Source organism: Homo sapiens, chromosome 2 (assembly GCF_000001405.40).
Source record: "Homo sapiens chromosome 2, GRCh38.p14 Primary Assembly".
Taxonomy (NCBI): domain Eukaryota; kingdom Metazoa; phylum Chordata; class Mammalia; order Primates; family Hominidae; genus Homo; species Homo sapiens.
In genome coordinates, this window is record NC_000002.12 from 181,290,298 (window position 1) to 181,313,637 (window position 23,340).

Here is a 23,340-nt window from a genome sequence, read left to right on the forward strand (position 1 = left end):
TAAATATGAGAAAACTGATTTCTTTCTACTCTCATCAGTACTTGGCATTACTCGTACTTTCTCATCTTTGCTACTCTGAGGAATGACAGATGATATCACATGATTGAACTAACTGGCATTTTTGTCAATTGTCTTTGATGTGATTATTAGTCATTGGTTTTCTTTGAGATTGCCTTTCCATGTCATGTAACCATTTCTTTTTGTGAAATTTTTATATGCTTTCAGTATGTGCTATTTCTTTACATATTATGAATATAAACTCCATTTCTCTCACATAGGTTGTAAGTTTTTTTCTTCAATTTATCACTTGTCTTTTGATTTTTTATATTATATGGTATATTCTTCCATGCAGATATGTGTCAACTCTCTTTTTCTTTATGCTTTATAACCTTTGATGTCAAATTAGAAAGCTTTCTACTTCAAGACTTAGATAATACTTACTCTTATGGTTTTCCCATTACTTTTACAACTTTATTTTTTTATGCTAAAATCTCACCCATCTGTTTCATCTGAGAACTATGCCCATGCATTTATGCCTTCAGATAAAATAACCATTTTCGGTTTTTGGTCAAAATATTGAATATCTATGAATTAATTTTGAGACAATTAATATCTTATCAATTCTGAATCTTCCTACCCATAACAAATATGCTATGCCTTTTCATGTATTTAACTTTTCCTTTATGTCCTTTTAGATATCTTTCTAATTCTTTGTATGGTTTTTGAATATTTCTGAAATTATATCTCTGCAGATATCCCTGCCAAAACTCTTGGAAAAGATCGGCTTTGGTTACTTTCCTCCCCTCTGAACAAATCTTCATGGCAAAGGGAAAGAAGCATTCTATTTGGCTAGGTCCAGTGTGGCCCTTGAGTTAGGCCAGGGAAAAGGAGGGCATACAGGTTGGCGCCAACCCAATCCAAACCACCGGTCTGAGCAGGAATGCTGTGGGTGGGGTTTGAGTTTTAAACGAAGAGATGCTAGGTAGAAAAAGTAAGAGAATTTTATTTATACTAAATTCTTCTTTCTTTCCCTAAACTATGATTCATCTAAAGCACTAGCTCATCCCCATCGATGCTCTTTAAACCAGACACCGTCCCTCTTCTCTCCACTTTGGTATTCATGACTTCTGCCTCCACAATCTCATCAAAAATTAGCAAATTGGAATTAACAAACCTAGAATGTCACAACAAATCTTTGTCTTCACAAAGTTTTATATCAAATTGAGATTGTTTTTGAAAATGCTTCTATTTTTATTTCCATTTACTTAATGTTAATTTTTGCTCTACTTTTTCTTTCTTTCTTTCTTTCTTTTTTTTGCTTGGCTTGGCTTGGTAAACACAAGAAAATAAAGATTTTCAGATTTCTTCTTTATCTTGCTCTGAAATAAGATCTCTTTTTTTGTTCTTTGCGTGACACTGCTTGGAAACTTTCTTGGGGCTGTATTTTAATTATAGGATTCAAATCTATTATAATTTGGGGGTTGTAAATATGTGTCCAGAGACCTAGGATAAAGGGTAAAATTAAATCCATGTTCCCATTTTGATCCTGGGTTAGGCATAGCAATGAAAAGAACTAAACGTTCTAAATGGTTACAGTTCCAAACTAGGTAATTATTAATGATTAATTGCTTCTCCATGTAAATAAAAATGATGAAGTTTAATCTATACATTGATTTCTACAGACCTGGAGTGATAATGGATTTTTTAAATAGTTTCTGAAATGTTTTTATTGTCCTTAACAATAAAATAGTCACCTAAAGCAAGTCGCAATTTACAGAAGAAAACCATTAACTAACATAGATTGGTTTATATGGCTACCTGTTTGTATACTTCAAGGGATATAGATTGATGAATATTTAATTTTCAGTACATTTATAAGTGATAAAAGAATCTATTACTTACCAGTGTTTGTTTTAAGGTGTGCTACCTCAAAGCACAAAAGAGATATAGAAATACTCTACCCTAAGATAAAAGGAGATGTTGCAAAATATTTAGAAACCAATGAAGATATTCCCTAAAAACCAATTATCATAGGATGTCCAATATTTGGAAGTGATGCCCCGATACCATTTTATGATAATAGATTATCTAACAAAGTTGAAAGTATAAATAATTATAATAGCAAACAATGTTGTATGTGAATAAACTAGAACTTTTTTGTTTGGGTTTTGCAAAAAATAACACAGAGCTACAGACATTGTATATTATAATTAAGTAAATGAAAATATTGGTTTTGATTTTGGAAAACTTTTCCTGCCACTTCCAATTTCTGTTATATTAATTTTAGTTATTATTTTAATCTTGCAGATTTATTCTTCAGCCATGCCAAGTTTATTATTCAGCTTTTACTATTTAAAAAATTTGATAGTCATATTTTCAGATTTCAAAATGCAGTAACTCCTGAATGTTTACACATATATTAACACTTATATTTCCAATTTCTTCTCCTTATTATGTAATCTCTGACTCCATCGTTTCATCTCCAAATTTAGAGCTCTTGGGAGCTCCATGGGTTAGAATTACTCACGTCTTTGGTGTAACTTGCTCAGGTACATTTTCCAGGATAAAGTTCCTCTGTGGCTTGTACATCGATATGAACCCATTTGCTTTCAGATTTCCACATAGTTTAGGAAGCTGCTGTTTGTTGATGACACACTCACTCTTATTTTCAGCACTATCTACAGATTTGTTCTTTTTAGTATATCTTCACTGTCACTGAATAGCATCATTGGAAAGAAGTGAAATACACCTGGGTGTTCAGTAGACCGTTTTGAACCAAAAGTCCAGTTCCCTTTTAACAACAAAGAATAGGAAAAAAAAAACCTACTTTCAGAAATATTTTTTATTTAAATTCATATTTTTTCTGTCATTTTTGAGAGCTTTACTATGAACTATACTGAATGATAAATGTTTTATATGCATTTTCTCATTTAATCTTCATGTCACCCTCAAAGGTGCAGATTACGTTCCCCTTCTTATAAGGAAGAAAACTAAAGTTCAAAAAAGCTAAATAATTTGCCCAAATCATACAGGTAGAAAATAACAGATTTGAGAACTAAACCTATAGTTAGTTGTTGCCAGAAGCTATACTCTAATCACTCTACATACTGCCTTTCTATAGTAGACCATTTGGTCTACTATTTCTAGTACACTTAGCTGCAAACACTTCTTATTGCCTATTATAAACTCAGTAGTTTCCTAGATGTTGTATTTGTAAAGATGAATAAGGCAGTCTAGGTATACATCCTAATTCTTGAAGAATTTCAAAGGAAGGAGAGCAAGATGGCAGAATAAAAGTCTCCACTGATCGCCCTACTCCAGACAAGGACACCAATTTGACAACTATTTACACAGAAAAAACACCTTTATAAGAACCAAAAATCAGGTGAGCACTCATAGCACCTGGCTGGAACTTCATATCACTGAAAGAGGCACTAACGAGGTAAACAAACAAACACAAAAAGTCCTGAATCGCTGATGCTACCTTTTCCCCAACCGCAGCAGCAGCGATGTGGTGCAGGTAGTATATCTGGGCACTGGAGGAAGGAGAGGACAGCAATTGTGAGGCATTGAACTCAGCACTGTCCCATTAAGGCACAAAGGAAAACAGGACCTAACTCAGCTGCCACCTGCCCATGGAGGGAACATTTAAACCAGCACTAGCCAGAGGGGAATTGCCAATCCCAGTGGTCTGAACTTGAGTTCCCACAAACCTCACCACTGCGAGCTATAGTGCTCTGTCTCCAAGTAAACTTGAAAAGCAGCCTAAGCCATAAAGACTGCAATTCTCATGCGAGTCTAGGGCTGAACTGGGCCCAGAGACAGTGGACTGGGTGGGGTAGGGGGCCACAGGACATACTGAGACATCAGTTGGGATGGCTAAGGGAGCGCTGGCATCACCCCTCCTCTAACACCAGGTTGCACAGCGGCTCCAAAAGAGACCTCTTTATTCCTTTCTTCTGCTTGAGGAGAGGAACAGAAAGTGTAGAGAGGGCTTTGTCTTGCCTCTTGGAGACCAGCTCAGCCACTGCAAGACAGGGTATCGGTTAGAGTCATGAGGCCTCCATTCCAGGCCCTAGCTTTCAGACGACATTTCTAGACACACCCTGGGCCAGAAGGGAACCTGCTGCCTTGAAGGAAAGGGCCCAGTGCTGGCAGTATTTATCACCTGCTAACCGAAGAGCCTTTGGGACCTGAACAAGCAGCAGTGACACCCAGGTGCTACACCAACGGCATTAGATGAGCCTCTGAGACTTACTGGCTTTAGATGAGACTTGGCACATTACAAGCTGTGGTGGCTATGGGGCAAAACTCTTTCTGTTTGAGAAAAGCAGAGGGAAAAAGTAAAGGGGACTTTGTCTTACATCTTAGGTATCAGCATGGGCCACAGTGGGGTAAGCACCAAGTGGGATCTTAGGTCCCTGATTCCAGGTCTTGACTCTTGGATGGCATTTCTGGACCTGCCCTGGGCCAGAGGGTGCCCACTGCCATGAAGTGTGAGTCCTAGGTCAGGCAGCATTCACCACAAGCTGACTTAAGAGCCCTGGGGCCTTAAGGTAATTTTGGAGGTAATCTGGCAGTAGTCCTCATGGCCTGGGTGGTGGTGGCTAAGGGTTGAGGCTCCTCTGCCTTTGGAAAGGGGAGAGAAGAGTAAAAGGACTACATCTTGTGGTTTGAGTGCCAGCTCAGCTGCAGTACTATAGAATACCAGGTAGACTTCTAAGGTTTTTGACTCTAGTCCCTGACTCCCAAAGAGCACCTCTGGACCCAGGGAAGAATGCAGACATGGATGGCTTTGCCACCTGCTGAGTGTAGAGCCTCAGGGCCTAGAGGGAACATAGGCAGTAGCCAGGGAGTGACTACAGCAGGCCTTGAGTGAAACTCAGCACTGTGCTTGCTTCAGGTCTGACCCAGTGCAGCCACAGTGGTCATGGCCACAAAGATGCTTCTGTCACTTCACTCCTAGCTTTAGGTGACTCAGAGCAGAGAGAGGGCCTCTGTTTGGGAGAAAGTATGGGAAGACAACAAGATTCTCTGCTTGGTAATCCCGAGAATTCTCCTAGATCTTGCTCAAGACCATCAAAGCGGTACCTCTACGAGTCTGCAAGAACCTCAGCGTTACTGAGGGTAGGGTGCCCTTTAAAGCAGTTACAGCTTAGATTAAAACACCTAAGTCTTTTTAAATATCTGTAAAGCCTTCCCAAGAAGGATGGGTACATATAAGCCCAGACAGTGAAGACTGCAGTGAATACCTAACTCTTCAGTGCCCAGACACTGAAGAACATCTACTAGCATTAACACCATCCAGGAAAACATGACCTCACCATTTGAGGTAAATAAGACACCAGGGACCAATCCTGGAGAAACAGAGATATGTGACCTTTCAGACAGAGAATTCAAAATAGCTGTGTTGAGGAAACTAAAAGAAATTCAAGGTAACACATAGAAGGAATTCAGAATTCCATCAGATAAATTTAACAAAGAGATTCAAATTATTAGAAAGAATCTAGCAGAAATTCTAGAGTTGAAAAATGCAATTGGCATACTGAAGAATGTATCAGAATCCTTTAATAGCTGATTGATAGCAGAAGAAAGAATTCTTGAGCTTGAAGATAGGCTATTTGAAAATTCAGTCAGAGGAGATGAAATAAAAAGAGTGAAGAAACAATGAAGCATGCTTACGGGATCTAGAAAATACCCTCAAAAGGGCATATCTAAGAGTTATTGACCTTAAAGAGGTAATAGAGAAAGAGATAGGGTAGAAAGTTTATTCAAAGGAATAGTAACAGAGAACTTTCCAAACCTAGAGAAAGATATCAATATCCAAGTACAAGATTATAGAACACCAAGAAGATTTAACCCAAAAAAGGCTACCTAAAGGCATTTAATAATCAAACCCCCAAAGATCGAGGATAAAGAAAGGATCCTAAAAGCAACAAGAGAAAGGCAACAAATCACATACAATGGAGCTTCAATACATCTGGGAGCAGAATTTTCAATGGAAACCTTACAGGACAGGAGAGAGTGGCATGACATATTTAAAGTGCTGAAGAAAAAGTACTTTTACCCTAGAGTAGTATATCCAATGAAAATAATCTTTAAACATGAAGGAGAAATAAAGACTTTCCCAGACAAACAAAAGCTAACATCAACACCAGACCTGTCTTATAAGAAATGCTAAAGGAAGTTCCTTGATTAGAGAGAAAATGATGTTAATGAGCAATAAGAAATTATCTGAAGATACAAAACTCACTGGTAATAGTAAGTACATAGAAAAGCAGAGAATATTAGAACACTGTTAAGTGTGGTATGTAAATACTTTTATCCTAAGTAGAAAGAGCGCTTAACCAATCAAAAATATTAACTACAAAATTTTTCAAGACATAGTCCAATGTGACATAAATAGAAACAACAGAAAGTTAAAAAGGAGAAGGACAAAGTTGACGCATAGAGTTGTTATTAGTTTTCTTTTTGTTTATATGTTTGCTTGTTTATGCAAACAGTGTTAAGTTGTTAGGGTAAAATAATGGGTTATAAAATAGTATTTTTAAGCCTCATGGTAACCTCAAACCAAAAAACATACAATAGATACACAAAAAATAAAAAAGCAAGAAACTAAATCATATCACCAGAGAAAATTACCTTAATTAAAGGAAGACAGGAAGGAAAGAAGGAAGGAAGAGAAGACTAGAAAACCACAAAATAATTAATAAAATGGTAGAAGTAAGTTCTTATTTATCAACAATATCATTGAATGTAAATGGACTAAACTCTCCCGTCAAAAGACATAGAAAAGCTGAATTATTGAATCAATGAAAAAACAAGACCCATTGACCCCTTGTCTACAAGAAACACACTTCACCTACAAAGACACATATAGACTGAAAATAAAGGGTTGGAAAGTGATATTCCATGCCAACAGGAACCAAAAAAGAGCAGGAGTAGCTGTACTTATATCAAATAAAATAGATTTAAAGACAAAAGCTATAAGAGACAAAGGTCACTATATAATGATAAAGGGGTCAATTCAGCAATATATATGCAGCCAGCACTGGAGCACCCAGCTATATAAAGCAAACATTATTAGAACTAAAGAGAGAGATAGTCCCCGGTACAATAATAGCTGGAGACTTCAACACCTCACTTTCACATTGAACAGAACTTCCAGACATAAAATCAACAAATAAACATTGGACTTAATCTGCACTGCAGACCAAGTGGATCCAATAGATATTTACAGAACATTTAATACAGTGGTTGCAGAATACACATTAATTTCCTCACCACATGGATCATTCTCAAGGATAGACTATATGTTAGGCCACAAAACAAGTCTTAAAACATCCAAAAAATTGAAATATGTCAAGCATCTTCTCTGACAACAATGGAATAAAATAGAAATCAATAACAAGAGGAATTTTGGAAACTATACAAATACATGGAAGTTAAACAATATGCTCCTGAATGACTAGTAAGTCAATGCAGAAATTAAGAAGGAAATTGAAAAATTTATTGAAAAAAAGATAATGGAAACACAATATGTCAAAATCTATGGAATATAACAGAGTACTCAGAGAGAAGTCTATAGCTATAAGTGCCTACATCAAAAAAGAGGAAAAACTTCAAATAAACAATCTGATGATGTATCTTAAAGAACTAGAAAAGCAAGAGAAAACCAAACCCAAAAATACTTGAACAAAAGAAATAATAGACCAGAGCAGAAATAAATAAAAGTCAAATGAAAAAAAAAATACAAAAATCAATATAACAAAAACTTGTTTTTTAAAAAAGTTAAAATTGACAAACTTTTAGCTGGACTTAAGAATAAAAGAGAGAAGATACAAATAAATAAAGTCAAAAATGATAAAGGAGACATTACAACAGACACTGCAGAAATTCAAAGGATTATTAGTGCTGCTATGAGCAACTATATGCCAATAAATTGGAAAATCTAGAAAAAATGGACAAATTCTTAGACATATACAACCTACCAAGATTGAACCAGAAAGAAACCTAAAACTTGAACAGACCAATAACAAGTAACAAAATCAAAGCCATAATAAAAAAATTTTCCACTAAAGAAAAACCCAGGACCAATGGCTTCACTGCAGAGCTCTACCAAACATTTAAAGAACTGTATACTTCCTAATTCTTGAGGTGCTGGTTCAAAGGAATGTAGTTAAGTAAACTGTTAAGTCGTAGTACAAAAAATGCCATATAAACAGTTCTGTGGGAAGCTAGAAGTGGAATATTTATAACAAATTAGCTGATCAATATTTGACATTAAATAGAAAGTAAATATATTTAAATTTTAAATTTTAAAAATCATTTAACATTTAGGACAGAGAAAACATTTCCTTTAATTTGGACTGAATAGAATGTAAAGAAATACTGAACCACCAGAACCAATTGAAAATACTGGGTTTCAGACCTACTCACAGTCATCATCATCATTTATCAAGTCATATGAAATTGCATTACAGAAAGGTGATACTAAATAAGATAAGTCAACCCAGTTGGAGTATATGGGGCATAGTTAATACGCTTTTCTTTTGTTTTTATTATGGAAAAAATACTTCTATTGATTATGAAGAATCAATGCAATCCTTTTTAGTATCAAACCAAGGTATTAGCTTCTCTACCATTTTTCTGAGTTTGAATATTACTATATTAAAAAAAAGACAATTCCTGAAAAATTTTACCTAGCTTTATGTTTTATTAGAAACACAGCCAGGAAGACATTTCGAATTTATCCTACCTCAATAGTTTCTTCACACTGCAGTAGCTTAAGATTTTCAGTCTGTTTCTTTCTTAAATATCCTAAAGGTACATGCCATTTTGGTTTCCATTTAGATGCAGGGATGTTTTTAAAACACCAAATATCACAGACATGTGTTCTCCCCATGCCATTATGGTGACTATTATGCCCTGTTTATAGCTTTTTCCTTCAGAAATAATCAATATGACTTTCTAATAGGCACATTTTAAATCATAGAATTTAATGATATTATAGCTGAGAAGGAGGGTCCAATGGCTTTTCAACAGAGAATGTTACAATCTATGAAATTATGAATGAAGATTTCTGTGTGTGGGGGTTAAGTAATTTCATAAGGCCACCAGGCTAGAGGGGTAACTTTTTCTTTTACTTGGAGACCTGGTTTCAATAAGAGAGGATAGGAATGGTTTGTAAATAAGATATTATGAGACAATTCAGATCTCTTGAACGTTTTTTAATTTTACCAAAAGAAAATGAACCAACCTCTTAATGGTATATAGCAATTATTATGATGCTTAATGGTCTCAGAAAATAGTTTAAGAATTACATAAAATGATAGGTATTATCTTGGATTATTTTGTTTGTGGCACATTGGTTTAATTTAACATTCATAAGACATACATGGAATCCTGCTGCTTTGGTAAAGCACAATGTAGAGTTTAAAGACATGTCTCTTGTAACCAGACAAAGAACAGAGATAAAGATTCTGTGATCAGTGAGCTCTTGAACTTTCTTAGAAGTCTTGGTCACACGAGATTAGAAACAAAGCAAAAATTTGAATCAGTTATGTATTTTCTTTTTGGCTGCTTCAGAAGAACTGTTTAGTCAGGAAACAACAGATGCTGGAGAGGATGTGGAGAAATAGGAACGCTTTTACACTGTTGGTGGGAGTGTAAATTAGTTCAGCCATTGTGGAAGACAGTGTGGCGATCTCTCAGGGATCTAGAACCAGAAATACCATTTGACCCAGCCATCCCATTACTGAGTATATACCCAAAGGATTATAAGTCATTCTACTATAAAGACACATGCACACGTATGTTTATTGCAGCGTTATTCACAACAGCAAAGACTTGGAACCAACCTAAATGCTCATTGATGATAGACTGGAGAAAGAAAATGTGGCACATGCACACCATGGAATACTACGCAGCCATAAAAAAGGATGAGTTCATGTTCTTTGCAGGGACATCATTGAAGCTGGAAACCATCATTCTCAGCAAACTAACATAGGAACAGAAAACCAAACACCGCGTGTTCTCACACATAAGCAGGAATTGAACAATGAGAACAGATGGACACAGGGAGGGGAACATCACACACTGGGGCCTGTCAGGGGTGGGCGGCTACCTAATGTAGATGACAGGTTGAAGGGGGCAGCAAACCACCATGGCACATGTATACCTATGTAACAAACCTGCATGTTCTGCACATGTATCCCAGAACTTAAAGTATAATACAAAAATAAAATACATGAGAAAATAAAATAATTATAAAATAAAAAAGAAAGGAAGTTGATAAATGCAATAGTGAAATGTGTATAAAGCAATCACTTCCCAGGTAATTTTTCTATGAAAAATTCAATGATTTTATAATTCCAATTGAATTACTTGGTTATATAGGCTTATTTTTGACAAAACATGAGTAAATAACGGGACGTGTGGTTGGGAGGACTGAACCTCATGCCACATGCTTGTTTGTGTGGCATAAAGTGAAACCAGCTAGGTCTGTTCGCCCATGGAGTTCTGCGTGTGGTAATTTAAGGAAACCACACAGTGTAGCAAAGGATGTTGGAAGGGGTTAGAAAGCAAAATTAATTTACAACCATGCCAGCTTTACATTGTTGTTAAAATACCACCACCTCATGCTATCATAGCACATGTTGTTAATATTTCAATAAAGCAATACCTTTTAGTGACCAGTTTAATAATACAGATAACAATTTTCTCATGCTCTTCCCTCTTCTTATTTTACATGGTCTTCCAGAGTGATCTTTTACACACACATGGCTTCAGTGATTGCGTAAGTTCTGAACTTGGAGATCTATGCTCAAGGTCTAGTTCCTTATCACATCAATGATATCCTGCTTACTGGATATTTCTACTTGAATGTCCATGCACACCTCCAACATGTCCCAAACTATACTCATCTTCTCAGTCTTCTTGCTTCTCAGCTCCAAACCTTCTCCTCTTCCTATGCTCCTGACCTCAGTAAATAGCACTGCTACAGCCGCAGTCAAGCAGGAAACCTGATTATCATCTTTAATTTCTCCACCTTTTCTACATACCTAATGGATCACCAAGACCTATCAATTCTAACACCAAACTGTGACTCAAAAGTGTGTATTTCCTTCCAATCTTAATACCATTACAGTAGTTCAGGCCCTCATCCAATTTCCCTGGATCATTATAGCAGTTTTCTAATTGTTGAAAATACCATTTACCTATAATTGTTAAGGATGCTTATATAATGAGGCAGTTATTATTATGTTATATAGTTATCCAAAAGGAAACTGTATCTTATGCCTTTGTTATAAACAGGGTTGGTATTGGTCTTTTGCTGTGAATGACAAATTCAGGCATGAAAAACCTATCCTATCCCTCCATATGGCTAAACCTCTGTATGTATAATGTGTGTACATGACCCATCAGTGATCCCGCATCTAAACTGTGAAATGAGCTTATTGATGTTTCCCAAAATAAGCCATTTTAGAGCTTTGACTTTAATTCAAGTTCTAATTCAATGTTAGACTGCTTTAATAGCTAGAGAACCATTTTCAGTTTATGAAAGAAATGCCAGTCCAAGAGGAAAATAGGTAGGACATCTATTGTGTGTGTGTGTGTGTGTGTGTGTGTGTGTGTGTATGTGTGTGTATGTTTTAAGGAATAGTGCGTCTACTCAAGTCGAGGGTTGAATAATTCTCAAGGAGCACTTCTTATTGTTGGATATAGAAGATAACATTAAATTTTTTCAGCATAGAATTTTTATCAACACGTAAGAACATATCAACTTTCTAAATGATTACTTTCTCATGTTAGAAAATAAAGATATTTAGTAACATACAACTATGTCTCAAATAACATGATCATCACTTCAGTATATCTGTGTTGTTCAGCACCTTTGATAGTGAGCTGCATGTCTGGACTCTCAATTTGCCTAATTTGTGTTAATACACTTTTATTTAGTACATAATATATGGTAAATACTCTGGGGAGATATAAATACTATCAGATATGACTCCCACTCCAGAGGAAACTAAAGTAAAAATTGGTTAAAAGTAAGAATAAGACAGCAGCATGTCCCTCTAATCCATAAGAAAAATATCAGACCACTTGGGTTGACTGATTTCTTTTAGCACCAAATGAGAACATACTTATTCAGTATTCTTCACCTCTATAAATCTGTCCATAAGTTGAAGAACTTTTGCTTTTGAAACACCAAGCATAGAGCTTTATATATTTTAGAAACCAAAAGTTAGTTTAGTCTGTTCAACCAAACATGAGTAAAAAAAATGAATATTCACTTAAACTGGTGTGGTATGGTCTTGAATAAAAGTTATTGATTTGATATTTTTTATTGTTAAATTGATCTTTAGGTTATGATTGCTAATTGTTCTCTTTCTAGGCATAGTCTAGTTTCAAATATATATTTAAAAAACAAATAGCAAAATACCCCATGATGCTTCAAATATAGATGTTCAAATATCCACCAGTAGGTCTTTCAACAGAAACATGACACTCATTTGCAGAGGAGAAAAACTGCATCAGTTGCCAGCTCTGTGGTACTAATCATTGCAAACAAGACTGAAGAATTTTGAAATTTTCATGTGCAAGACACATAGTGAAGGTTCTCAGAAATTATGATAGTGACTTTGTCCTATGTTTCATTACCAATCATCCTCTTACAATATTTTTTATGAATGAACTGTATCATGCTACCAAAAAATGTGAAAGAAAAAAATTCTTGGGGACCACAAATATTGTTATTTCAAGCAGAAACCACTTCATAATTTTGTTTCTTTGCATACAGATTTTTTAGAGCAATGACTCTACTTTGTACAGATTTATTACTTGAAAATAATATGGTATAATGTGGTGACAAGTCAATCATAACTTTAGTGATTTAGCTGTAGAAGTGTTATGAGTTGGCTGGGCATGGTGGCTCACGCCTGTAATCCCAGCACTTTGGGAGGCTGAGGCGGGTGGATCACGAAGTCAAGAGATCCAGACCATCCTGGCCAACATGGTGAAACCCCGTCTCTACTAAAAATACAAAAATTAGCTGGGTGTAGTGGTGCATGCCTGTATTCCCAGCTACTTGGGAGGCTGAGGCAGGAGAATCGCTTGAACCCAGGAGGCGGAGGTTGCAGTGAGCCGAGATGGCGCCACTGCACTCCAGCCTGGTAACAGAGTGAGACTCCGTCTCAAAAAAAAAAAAAAAAGGGTTATGAATTTTACAAAAACACTCTATTTTCATATATACATATATATAGAGAGAGAGAACAAGAGAGAGTAAACATCTTTCCAATCATATCTTGAAACTTACTATACTTAAAAGTAGAACCCTATACATCAGCATATTAAATAAAATAGATAAGCATTGTATAGTAAAAGTGATTTATATATTTGTGTATTTACATATTTTAAATATATACTAATATACATTTAGATATTTAATGATTTTATTAAAATAATAAAAGTAATATATCAATATTATATTGATATATTTATTTAAATTTATATTTAAAAACTGGGTTATCTGACTTATTGCCTAATTAAATTAAGATTTCAGCAAAAATCAGAGATAATTTTTTGAATATCTTGGCGATATATGTGGGGGGATGTACTACTTTTATTTTTAAAACTCTGTGAAAGTACCTCCTGCTGACCAGGCAGAATTCTAAATAATTTACAAATATTAATTCAGATAATCATACTGACAACTCTATTCAGGGTCTACTAGTGGGATGCCCAGTTTGCAAATGAGGAAGTTAAGTAGCTTATATTCAAGGTCAGACCACAAAGTGGCAGAATAGGATTCAAAATGACGCCAGAGTCTATGTTACTGTTTGAAAAGAATATTCAGCCATATCTGAGCAGGTTTTATTTATTAATTAGAGGTCAAAGCCATGGAAAAGATTAGCCCCGCCCCAAGTCTTGGTAGCTTAGTGGCAGGTCATCTAGGGCCCTGGAGTCTCCCTTTCAGCTGTCCCTCTGTGTGATATTTTGGAGCTGGGGTCATGCCTTACCTGCCTCCTCCTGGGGCCCTATCTGCTGAATACTATGACAGCGGGCAATAAAGGGAAGTTAGCATCAAAAGGCAGCCCTTCTCTTTATGTAACATAGAAATGACCCTTTCTTTATTTTTGACTGACCACAGCTACCTTAGTATTAGGTTAGCCTTGGTTACAGACTGGGTTTTGGTTTTGGTGATAAGTATGACTTTTGTAATTCTTTGAAACCTCTGCAATGCCTCTCAATTGCCCTATGAACAATGTAAATTTGGGAGTATAACTAAATGCAGATCTTCACAGATTGGAGTTTGAACTTGCCTCTTCAGCAAGGGACTGGGACGGCTCTTTATTACTACGGGATGTTTTTCTCATCTTCTAGAGCTTAAGTAAAAAAAATCTAGTTTCTCTTTGGGTAGTGAGGATGAACTGTAGATACTTCTTCACAAGCTCAAGGAAAACACATTAGACTTTCCTAGTCATAAATGAAGTCTCATTATGCTACAGGAGAAAACAGAGTTTTAAAAGTAACTATACTATCTAACTCTTTTTTAGTTTTATCACTGAATCTTGAATAATAGAACATAAGCAGTTGTTCGGATTTAAATTATTCTTCCCTCTTGAATTACTGTTCAACACCCTAAGATCACCATACGTATTATTTCAGAAAATGAAGAGCCTTAAAAATTGTCTCAGAAATTTTATTTCCTTATATTATAATTGAAATTTGGTAACTTCCCTCAAGATTAATAGAAAAGTTGTTCTAAAATCAACAAAACATGTTCACTTAATTTTTTTCCCCCACACTGTGGGTAGGAGCTAATATTTACTGAGGGTCCAGCACATGCCAGGCATTTTACTTTACTTAAGCCCATGCTCAGTATATGTGGTGAATATTGCTTCTTTTTATTTTATTGGCAAAGAAATGAAATCTCAGAGGCATTAGACAAATTACCCAAGCCTACCCAGGCCCTAAGAGGAGTCCAAACTGGGGTTATTCTGGCCTAAAAATAATGTGCTTTGCCCATCACAATACCACAAACTTTTTAAAATCTTGATCATTTCCACATTTCAATTAATCATCAGCATCAATGACGCACTTTAAAAGAGGAGGAGTATTTTTTAAAGAGAGACCTATTTACTCTTTTGGTCGGAGGCGTAGAAATTATGCTAAATACTATGCATAACTTACTTTGGCAAGTGCAATGGTTAAAACTAAGTACTAGTGTGCTTAAATACTTCCTTATTCAACAATTATAATGCAGATTAAAGCCCAAGTGTGAAATGTGAACCTTTGTACCCTGAGCCCACAAGGGTCATCCCCTCCTTGTGGACCCAATGCACAAAGTACAGTTGCCTGCACCTCCGAGTCCTCTTATGAATGGCTGGGAGGGATTACACAGGAATCAGCAGGTGAGAGGCATCAAAGGTTACAGCTCACAGTGCCCTTGACCCTCAGTCGAAGGCGGAGACTCAGAGTAGCTGTCAACAGAATAGAAACCATTGTATGAGAGAATTGCTTAAAATACTTCAGTTGCTCTCTGTGCATAGCAGAGGCACTGTTTGTGGTTTGGGAAGCTATAGTGACAGTTAGAGGCTGTTGTAGCAATCCATGAGTGTATGTACTCATGTATATCTGTAATGTGGTGTGCTTTCTTATCTTCAAGAGCATAGTTAAAACAGTTGGATTATGTTGATAAAATAGACCCTATAAGGAAAGTGCAAGTTTTGACATTTCCTCATTTTGTAGTTTGTGTTCAGTTGGCAATGTGAGTATTAATAGTGAACAATGTTAATGCCTGCATGTGAGGTGAACCTGCCAGTTAAAAGATGATAAATTATGGATTTATTATTCTTTTTCTCAATCTCTTGACAGCTGTGAGCAAGGCTGTTCCAAATTACCACCAAATGGTAGAAAGTTTATTACTTCCCTGGCCAAATAAAATACAAATACAATTTCACCCTGCAAAAATATTATTAAGCTAATGTTGCAAAAGCCTTATTAATCTTATTATAGTTAACAGTGCATAGTACTAAAAAGACAACTTGGGAAATTCAAGACAACTTGATTTTTAGAACCTAACAGTATCTAGAAAATCACATATTAAATGTCTAATAAATATTTGTGAACTAAATATACATGAAGACACTATTAACATCTTTCCAAGGGAAAAGTACCTGGCTAATAACTTTTAATAAGTTAAGTGCTCCTAATTAGGAGTTGGCATTTATAGTAGGGAGATGCTTTGTGATTTCACATATGTGGAGACTGAGAGACAGATATTTTATTGTAAAATAAAGGATGTATTGTGAAACAAAGGAGATGGTCAGAGTAGGGTGGGTAAAGAAGATAAATTAGGAGGAGAAAATAAAGTTTATTACTTTAAATTCTTTTGTAATGTCTTTAATAGAGACACATTTTAAGAAGAATTTTGTTCACGGCTACGAAAGACATTCATAAATGAGTCAGAGAAGAAAAAATAGAAAAGGTAGTGAATTATGAAAATGGGCAAAGTGAGAGGAATAAAAATTATATAAGAAAGGTAAAAGAAAAATGTCTAGAAGAAGAAAAGTATTTGTAAAATAGTTGTAAATCTTCTGCCCTTTCTTCAATCTTGAGGATCCTTTGGTTTCATATTCTCTGCTTTTTTAGACAGGATGTACATTTATAGACTGTTTACTTAGTAACTGAAACCTTTGCTTTTTTCCTCTTTGAACAAATCATGAAATGTAAAGTTAGAAGGGAGAAGTTTGTTTTAGCTACTTAAAAATGTAAACCTCATCTGGGGGCAGAGTAGAGATTCAAAATATTCTTTAATAACCTAAACTGAAAAAACTTTAAAACATTTAGGCTTTTCTTATTGGCTATTAAGATTTCTTAGAACTTACTCTGTAAAATATTTTGTGATATTAATGACATTTGAGTGAAAGCCACTTCTAGTACCATTAATGGCATTTTTATGTATAATTTAGAATTCTTTCTATATAGAAAAGTCTAAGGAAATCATGAATATGTTCCCGGAATTGGAAAATCGTCTGTCTGCTTGAAAACTGTCTCTGGCAGCACTGTAGCAGAGGGGTAAAGTGGTCTGGGCTGGAGTCCCAGCTCTGCCCCTTACTGTCCAGGTAAACTTGGGCAAAGTCATTTCTCCTCTGAGAAGGTACTCTCTTTGAAGATACTATCTCATTTGGTTGAACTATAGAATAAATTTACAGATGCAAAGAACTCAGAAGAATGACATAAAAGAGGTATTTAATAAATGTTATTCTGACACATTATCCAATATAGAAACAAGTAAACATCACTTCAAAACATAAAAACAGAAAGCCATTTAAAAAACAAATAAATATATTTGTAGCCAAAAGTGAAGATTATTTCTTAAAACGAATATATATATATATTCCTTTTTTGAGACAGAGTCTCATATTGTTACTCAGGCTGGAGTGCAGTGGTATGATCTCAGCTCACGTCAACCTCTGCCTTCTGTGATTCTCAAGTAATTCTCCTGCCTTAGCCTCCTGAGTAGCTGAGACTACAGGTGTGTGCCACTACGCCCAGCTAATTTTTGTATTTTTAGTGGAGACGGGGTTTCACCATGTTGGCCAGGCTGATCTCAAACTCCTGACCTCAGGTGATCTGCCCGCCTCAGCCTCCCAAAATGCTGGGATTACAGGCATGATCCACCATGCCTGGCCTAAATTCTGTATTAAATCTATCAGAGTATCTTCCACATAATAGCAGTTCAGTAAATATTTGCTGAAGAAATCTGGGTAACTAAAAGAATAAAATATAAACCTAGAGATCTTCACCGAAAAGTATTATTGAGATCTAATATGAGCTTATAAATGCATTAGGTCTATTTTGATTGAAGAAGAAATATAAGATGTAACCCAAGCTCTCAGAGTGGTTTCAATTAGTTGAAGAGAGAAGACCACATATATAACAGATATGGGGATTATCTTTTGCACATAACAGGTTCTTAATAAATGATGAAGTATTTGAAATGATTGAGTGAAAATATCTGAAATAATTATAAATGATAACAGCAATTTAAGGCACTGTAAGGTAGGTGTTCTGGGGATAAGAGCCAAAGGGTTGATGTAGTTCACAATGCAGGGCTCAGGCTGATATTTAAGGAATATATAAATTTAAGCCTGTCATTCTCAACTCTGGTTGCACATTACAATAGTGAGTGCCCAGATCCCACCATAAGAAAATCTTATTTAATTGGTCTGAGGTGAAGCCCAGGCATTTATGTGGCATTTATGTGGTATAAAAGCTACAGAGGTGATTCTAATGTTCAGTCAAGGTGAGGATCTCTGGTATAAAATGGTCAGTGAGGACAGAGAAGAAATTCCAGGAAGAGTTAGAGGAAGAGGGATGGTAAAGGGGGATGATTTGTGTATAGGACCTTGAAAGGATGTATAGTGGTTCAAATGGGAGCTGTACTGAAGCTAGTCTAGTTTAATGTTGTGGTAACAAAGTCCCTGACTGGAGTAGCCTAGATAGGGATGGAAGTAATAGACATGTGGCTCTCTTATGTACGTGGGCTTTGATTTTTAGATACACCCAGCTTAAATCTCCTGGGAAAGGTTGCATAATCTCTATAGGCCCTAGATCTCTTATCTCTAAAATGCATAATAATTCTACTTCAAGTAGCTCTCTCATGAGGTGTGGGGACAAAACGACATGCTGAAAGAAAGAGATGAGTTCAAGATGAGTGGGAAAATGGTGATGTTCCCACAGAGGCAAGAAGATGAAAGTGCCTAAAAGGGAACAAAAGCAAGTCACATGCTTCACATATAGTCCTAGAAAAATAAATCATTCAAAAATTTATAAATAAAATACACTGTGGATTAATAAGCCGCTATTTTATAAAACAAATCTCACCTACCTCCCAAAGACTAGTAATACATTTTCCCTCAAAACTGACTCTACTAACTCAAAAATCAAATTAGAGATGTATGAGCCAACTTGGGCAAAATAAGAAATGACCCTCTTGAAAGTTTACTTAGTGTTTTTAAATGTTCCTATTAAGAAGCAGAAGTATGTAAGTCCCGTGAGAAAAAGCCAAATGAAAATAGGAAGTACTGAAAATGAAAGCCACATACGTTTTGTAAGAATTTATCCTTCCAAATTCTTTTGGTATACTTTTTCTACAACAAAATAATTGAAATTGTTAAACTTTCAAATGAATATAATCTACATGGCAGCATATATTAGTGCAGCTATTTTTAAATTGAGTGTAGTGGCTTAGAAACACATTAAATGATAATTAGGCACCCTTTTTGACTTAATACAAATAAAACGAAAAGTAATAAGTGAAGCAGAATGATCTAGGAAGAAGTGTTGATCTATAATTAAATTGGGGTTTTTAAAAATCTGAAGCTCATTAATTTACCAGGCCAACTTTTGAAATGGTCTCTAGGTATCATTGCCCGACTATATTTCTGTTATCTCCATGCATTGTTATGTACTGTCACTCACTTTATTGCCACAGAACTTTGATAAACAGACATGCAATGCCATTTCAAAGTAGAGAAGACAAGCTACAGAGAGGGATTAACTATCCCCTCAAAACATGCCTGGCTAAGCAGTAATAATGACGGGGCTGGAACACAACTTTCTTGAGTCTGATATTATTTCATTGTAGACTATCGTATGCATTTTAGTGGTCACCAACCATTTAAAATCAAATTCAGTAAAAATAATTATTCTATCTTTCTTCTGATTGTTATAACACAAGTGAAACCAAATGCATTCTCTTTATGGAATTTTGTATGACTTGGACTCTGATAAATGTTACTTTATAAAATAAGCAGTAGTTCACGTTTTCAATATGTGCAGAGCTCTAATTTTAGATAGACCCAGCTTAAATATTCTAGACAAGTGGCTTAATCTCTACATGCTTCAGATTTCTTGTCTATAAAATAGATAATAATTTATATTTTATATTTGTGAGGATTTAAGAATACATATAATGTTCTTAATATAAAATAGGCTCAATAAATATTATTTACATAATTTTGATGTTGAAAATAACTATTTCCTATGGCACACATTTACCTATGTAACAAACCTGCACTCCTGCACATATATCCCAGAACTAAAAATAGATAAATAAGTAATGATAAAAGAAAAAAATGCTAAAGTGAATTCTTCACATTGAAAAATGAAACAATGAAATAATATGATTTCATATGAAACCATAGGAAAATATAAAGCTCTCTATAAAAGGTAAATATATATACAAGTATAAGACTGTTATCATAATGATGGTATATAAAACTCTCATAATTCTGCTATAGATTTAGTATAGTGTACTACTAAACTGTACACTTAAAAAGGTATAAAATGTTATATTTGTTTTAGTTCAATTAAAATTTTATAAAATGAAAAAAGAAAACTAATTCATAACATGGATGTATTAATTTATTATTTATTACCAAAATTGCATTTTATAAAGAAAAATAGCAATCTATGTTATAACCAAAGATACTCTGAAAAAAAAATCAGGTTAAAATATGGAAAAATATTTCAAACAAAAATATGTGAAAAAATGAAAAGTACAATAAAAATATCAACATGCGTTTTTATGAAGCTAGACAAGTTTATTTTAAAGTTTATGCAGAAAAATACATACACAAGAATAGGGCCTGGCATGGTGGCTTATGCCTATAATCCCAGCACTTTGCGAGGCCTTGGTGAGAGGACTGCTTGAGCCCAGGAGTTTATGACCAGCCTAGGCAACATTAGTGAGGCCCTGTCTCTACAAAACATTAAAAAAAATAATAATAACCAAGTGTGGTCCCAGTTACTCAGGAGGCTGAGGCAGGAGAATCACTTGAGCCTGGGAGGTCAAGGTTGCAGTGAGCCAGGCAGTGAGCACTCCAGCAGGCTGGGTGACAGAGTGAGGCCCTGTTTCAAAAAAAAAAAAAAAAAAAAAAAAACACTAAAAAGAAAAGCTGTAAGTGGGAACTAGTTATAACAAATGTTAAAACCTAGTATAAATCTTTTATACTTAAATCTTTTTATACTATAAATCTTTTAAACAGTGTGTCACCAGCTCATGATAAAAAGACTGATGAGTGGAACTGAATGGAAATTCTAGAAATAGATCCAGGTACATATTGAACTTGGGTATGTATGTGCATATCTGTACATTTACATCTATTTCCAAGTTCTCTGCCAAACCTGAAAACCCATTTTTGGGGATTTCTCTCCTGCACTGACTTGGTGTTACTGTCCTGGCAGGTGAACCTTGATTTTATTCCATGCTTCTAGTGATAGATTTTACCAGCATTGTTCATTACAACTTTCTGTATTGATGGAAATGTTCTAAAATCCGGGCTGTCCATTAGGGAAGCCACTGTCCATATGTGACTATTGAGCCTTTGAATTAGGCCAATGTGTGACTGAGAAACTTAGTTTTAAATTCTATTTAATTTGAATTAATTTATGTTTAAATAGTCATACAAGGTGTGTGGGGACGCTACTGGATGATCCTGCCCTATACTCTAAGCTCCTCCAGGAGAGGTCCAAGTCTGTTTAGTTCACATCAATGTCTAGTACAGTGCCTGAGGGATGACTAGTCTTTTTATTTCCAATCCGTATTAATTCTATTACATATGTATAGTAGGAGGGCTGGTTGCACCCTGATGTTCAGCTCCAAACCAGAAGATTAAATGCCCCAGTGCTGGATGTAGATGCTTAGAAGAAGCAGAAGCAGCTGCTAAGGGTGGGGCGTGATCAGGGAGGAGAACTGCAGCTTGTAATCGGTATTTCTTGCAAAGGCTTTTCCCTCTGCAAAAGTTCACTCTAATTTACATAAACCTCGGAGTATTGTTTTTAGATAATAGGGAGTAAAAAACAAAAGCAGACATAAATATATTTATCCACCTGCCTCAAGAAAATGATAGCTTTCTTAAAATAGTATTTTCAGCCTTTCTCTGGAGAAATATGTCTTTGAGGAAACATACACTCTCAATGGTTTAAGTAAACACGTCTCAGGAAAGCAGAACATCAGATGGAGGGCTCAACAGCAACAAAAGGAGGAAATCAGAATTTTATAAGAATTTCTGGTAATCTAAAGATTGTTTAAATCAGATCTTCATAGACAATTTTGGGCAAAGTCAAATAAAATGTTAATGCTGGTATAGAGAGAGCAAATGTTCTATGGGGCCATAAATGACTGACTGGACTTTCAGCTTTCCCAGTCCCTCAGCCGAGTAAGGAAAGCTACTCAACTTCTCTGATCATTAGCTCGTTTATCCGCAAAAGAGAATTGTATTGGGTAAGTGTGGTTTGCGGGGATGGAAATGTGGGTCAATGGTCAGCAGAGGTGAATTCCCCTCTACTAGTGTTTCCTGTCACACTATAGCTACCCCAAAGAGGTTGTCGTACAGGGTTAAACAATGTGAGAGCTGGAGAAGGTTCTAGAAATCACCCAATCAAATGAGGAAATCGACTAAAGAGGCAAAGACAAAAGTGATACCAGCAGCAGACTCTAAAAAAAGAACATGGCAAAAGTCACCAGGCTCACACCTGCTCCATGCTCTGGGTCACCATCTTCGAAATCAGGACTCTGCTGAAAGTTCAGAGATGCTAACACTCAAGTGCATATTTCAAGTACAGCTTTCTCACGCTGTGATTTCCATTATTTGTTTTTCTTTAGTTTGTTAAGTGTGTTGCCAGAGTGATGAGATTTCTTTATTCGAGCAAGTGATTACAATCACTTTACATTAAAAAAAAAAAAAGTCTCAACATTATATAGTAGGAAGACCAGCTTTTTGCTCAGTCTTCTACAGTTTTCTCTCTTTCAATGAGGCACTTTGGCGTATCTTAAATTTCAATGAACACAAACAACTTTCAGGGTTTTCTTTCTTTCTTTCTTTCTTTCTTTCTTTCTTTCTTTCTTTCTTTCTTTCTTTCTTTCTTTCTCTCTCTCTCTCTCTCTCTCTCTCTTTCTTTCTTTCTTTCTTTCTTTCTTTCTTTCTTTCTTTCTTTCTTTCTTTCTCTTTCTCTCTCTCTCTTTCGTTCTTTTACTCTGGGTGGCCTCTTTAGCTTCATTGTCTTTTCTCTTCCTGATCATAAGACACAGCATACAGATGTCTGATTGTGACAAAGGACTTGTGAAATTACACATTACAGACAAAGAATAGTTATGTCAGTTATGAAATTTTGTATTTTATAGTACAGTGCAGAAGTGCAATATCAATGTGTAGATCAAATATTTGCTTAAAAGAAAATTCCCTAAAGTCATACAATTTGGAAATTCGTTCAGATTTGAGTATGCTTTTGATTTACTTTACAGCAAGTATAAAATCCATTTTA

The 23,340-nt window shown here is 35.4% G+C and overlaps 1 long non-coding RNA gene and 1 other non-coding gene across 2 annotated transcripts in view, besides 3 other annotated features; one reads left to right on the forward strand and one right to left on the reverse strand.

Annotated features, from left to right (window-relative positions):
• Nucleotides 1–23,340, forward strand: part of LINC01934 (long intergenic non-protein coding RNA 1934) — a 275,717-nt gene that overhangs the window by 166,461 nt on the left and 85,916 nt on the right. The gene's annotated exons all lie outside the window — the stretch shown is intronic.
• Nucleotides 13,894–13,973: an enhancer, noted in NCBI's record as "active region_16824". NCBI's record gives its function as "activates an Ori minimal core promoter by ATAC-STARR-seq in GM12878 lymphoblastoid cells {active_cell/tissue: GM12878}" and the evidence as "EXISTENCE:reporter gene assay evidence [ECO:0000049][PMID:35858748]".
• Nucleotides 15,296–15,355, reverse strand: MIR4437 (microRNA 4437). Its single transcript, NR_039637.1, has one exon. It is a non-coding gene; the product is annotated as a microRNA 4437 (primary transcript).
• Nucleotides 19,451–19,651: a silencer, noted in NCBI's record as "peak3959 fragment used in MPRA reporter construct". NCBI's record gives its function as "represses an SCP1 promoter by STARR-seq MPRAs in K562 erythroleukemia cells {active_cell/tissue: K562}" and the evidence as "EXISTENCE:reporter gene assay evidence [ECO:0000049][PMID:32103011]".
• Nucleotides 22,571–22,620: an enhancer, noted in NCBI's record as "active region_16825". NCBI's record gives its function as "activates an Ori minimal core promoter by ATAC-STARR-seq in GM12878 lymphoblastoid cells {active_cell/tissue: GM12878}" and the evidence as "EXISTENCE:reporter gene assay evidence [ECO:0000049][PMID:35858748]".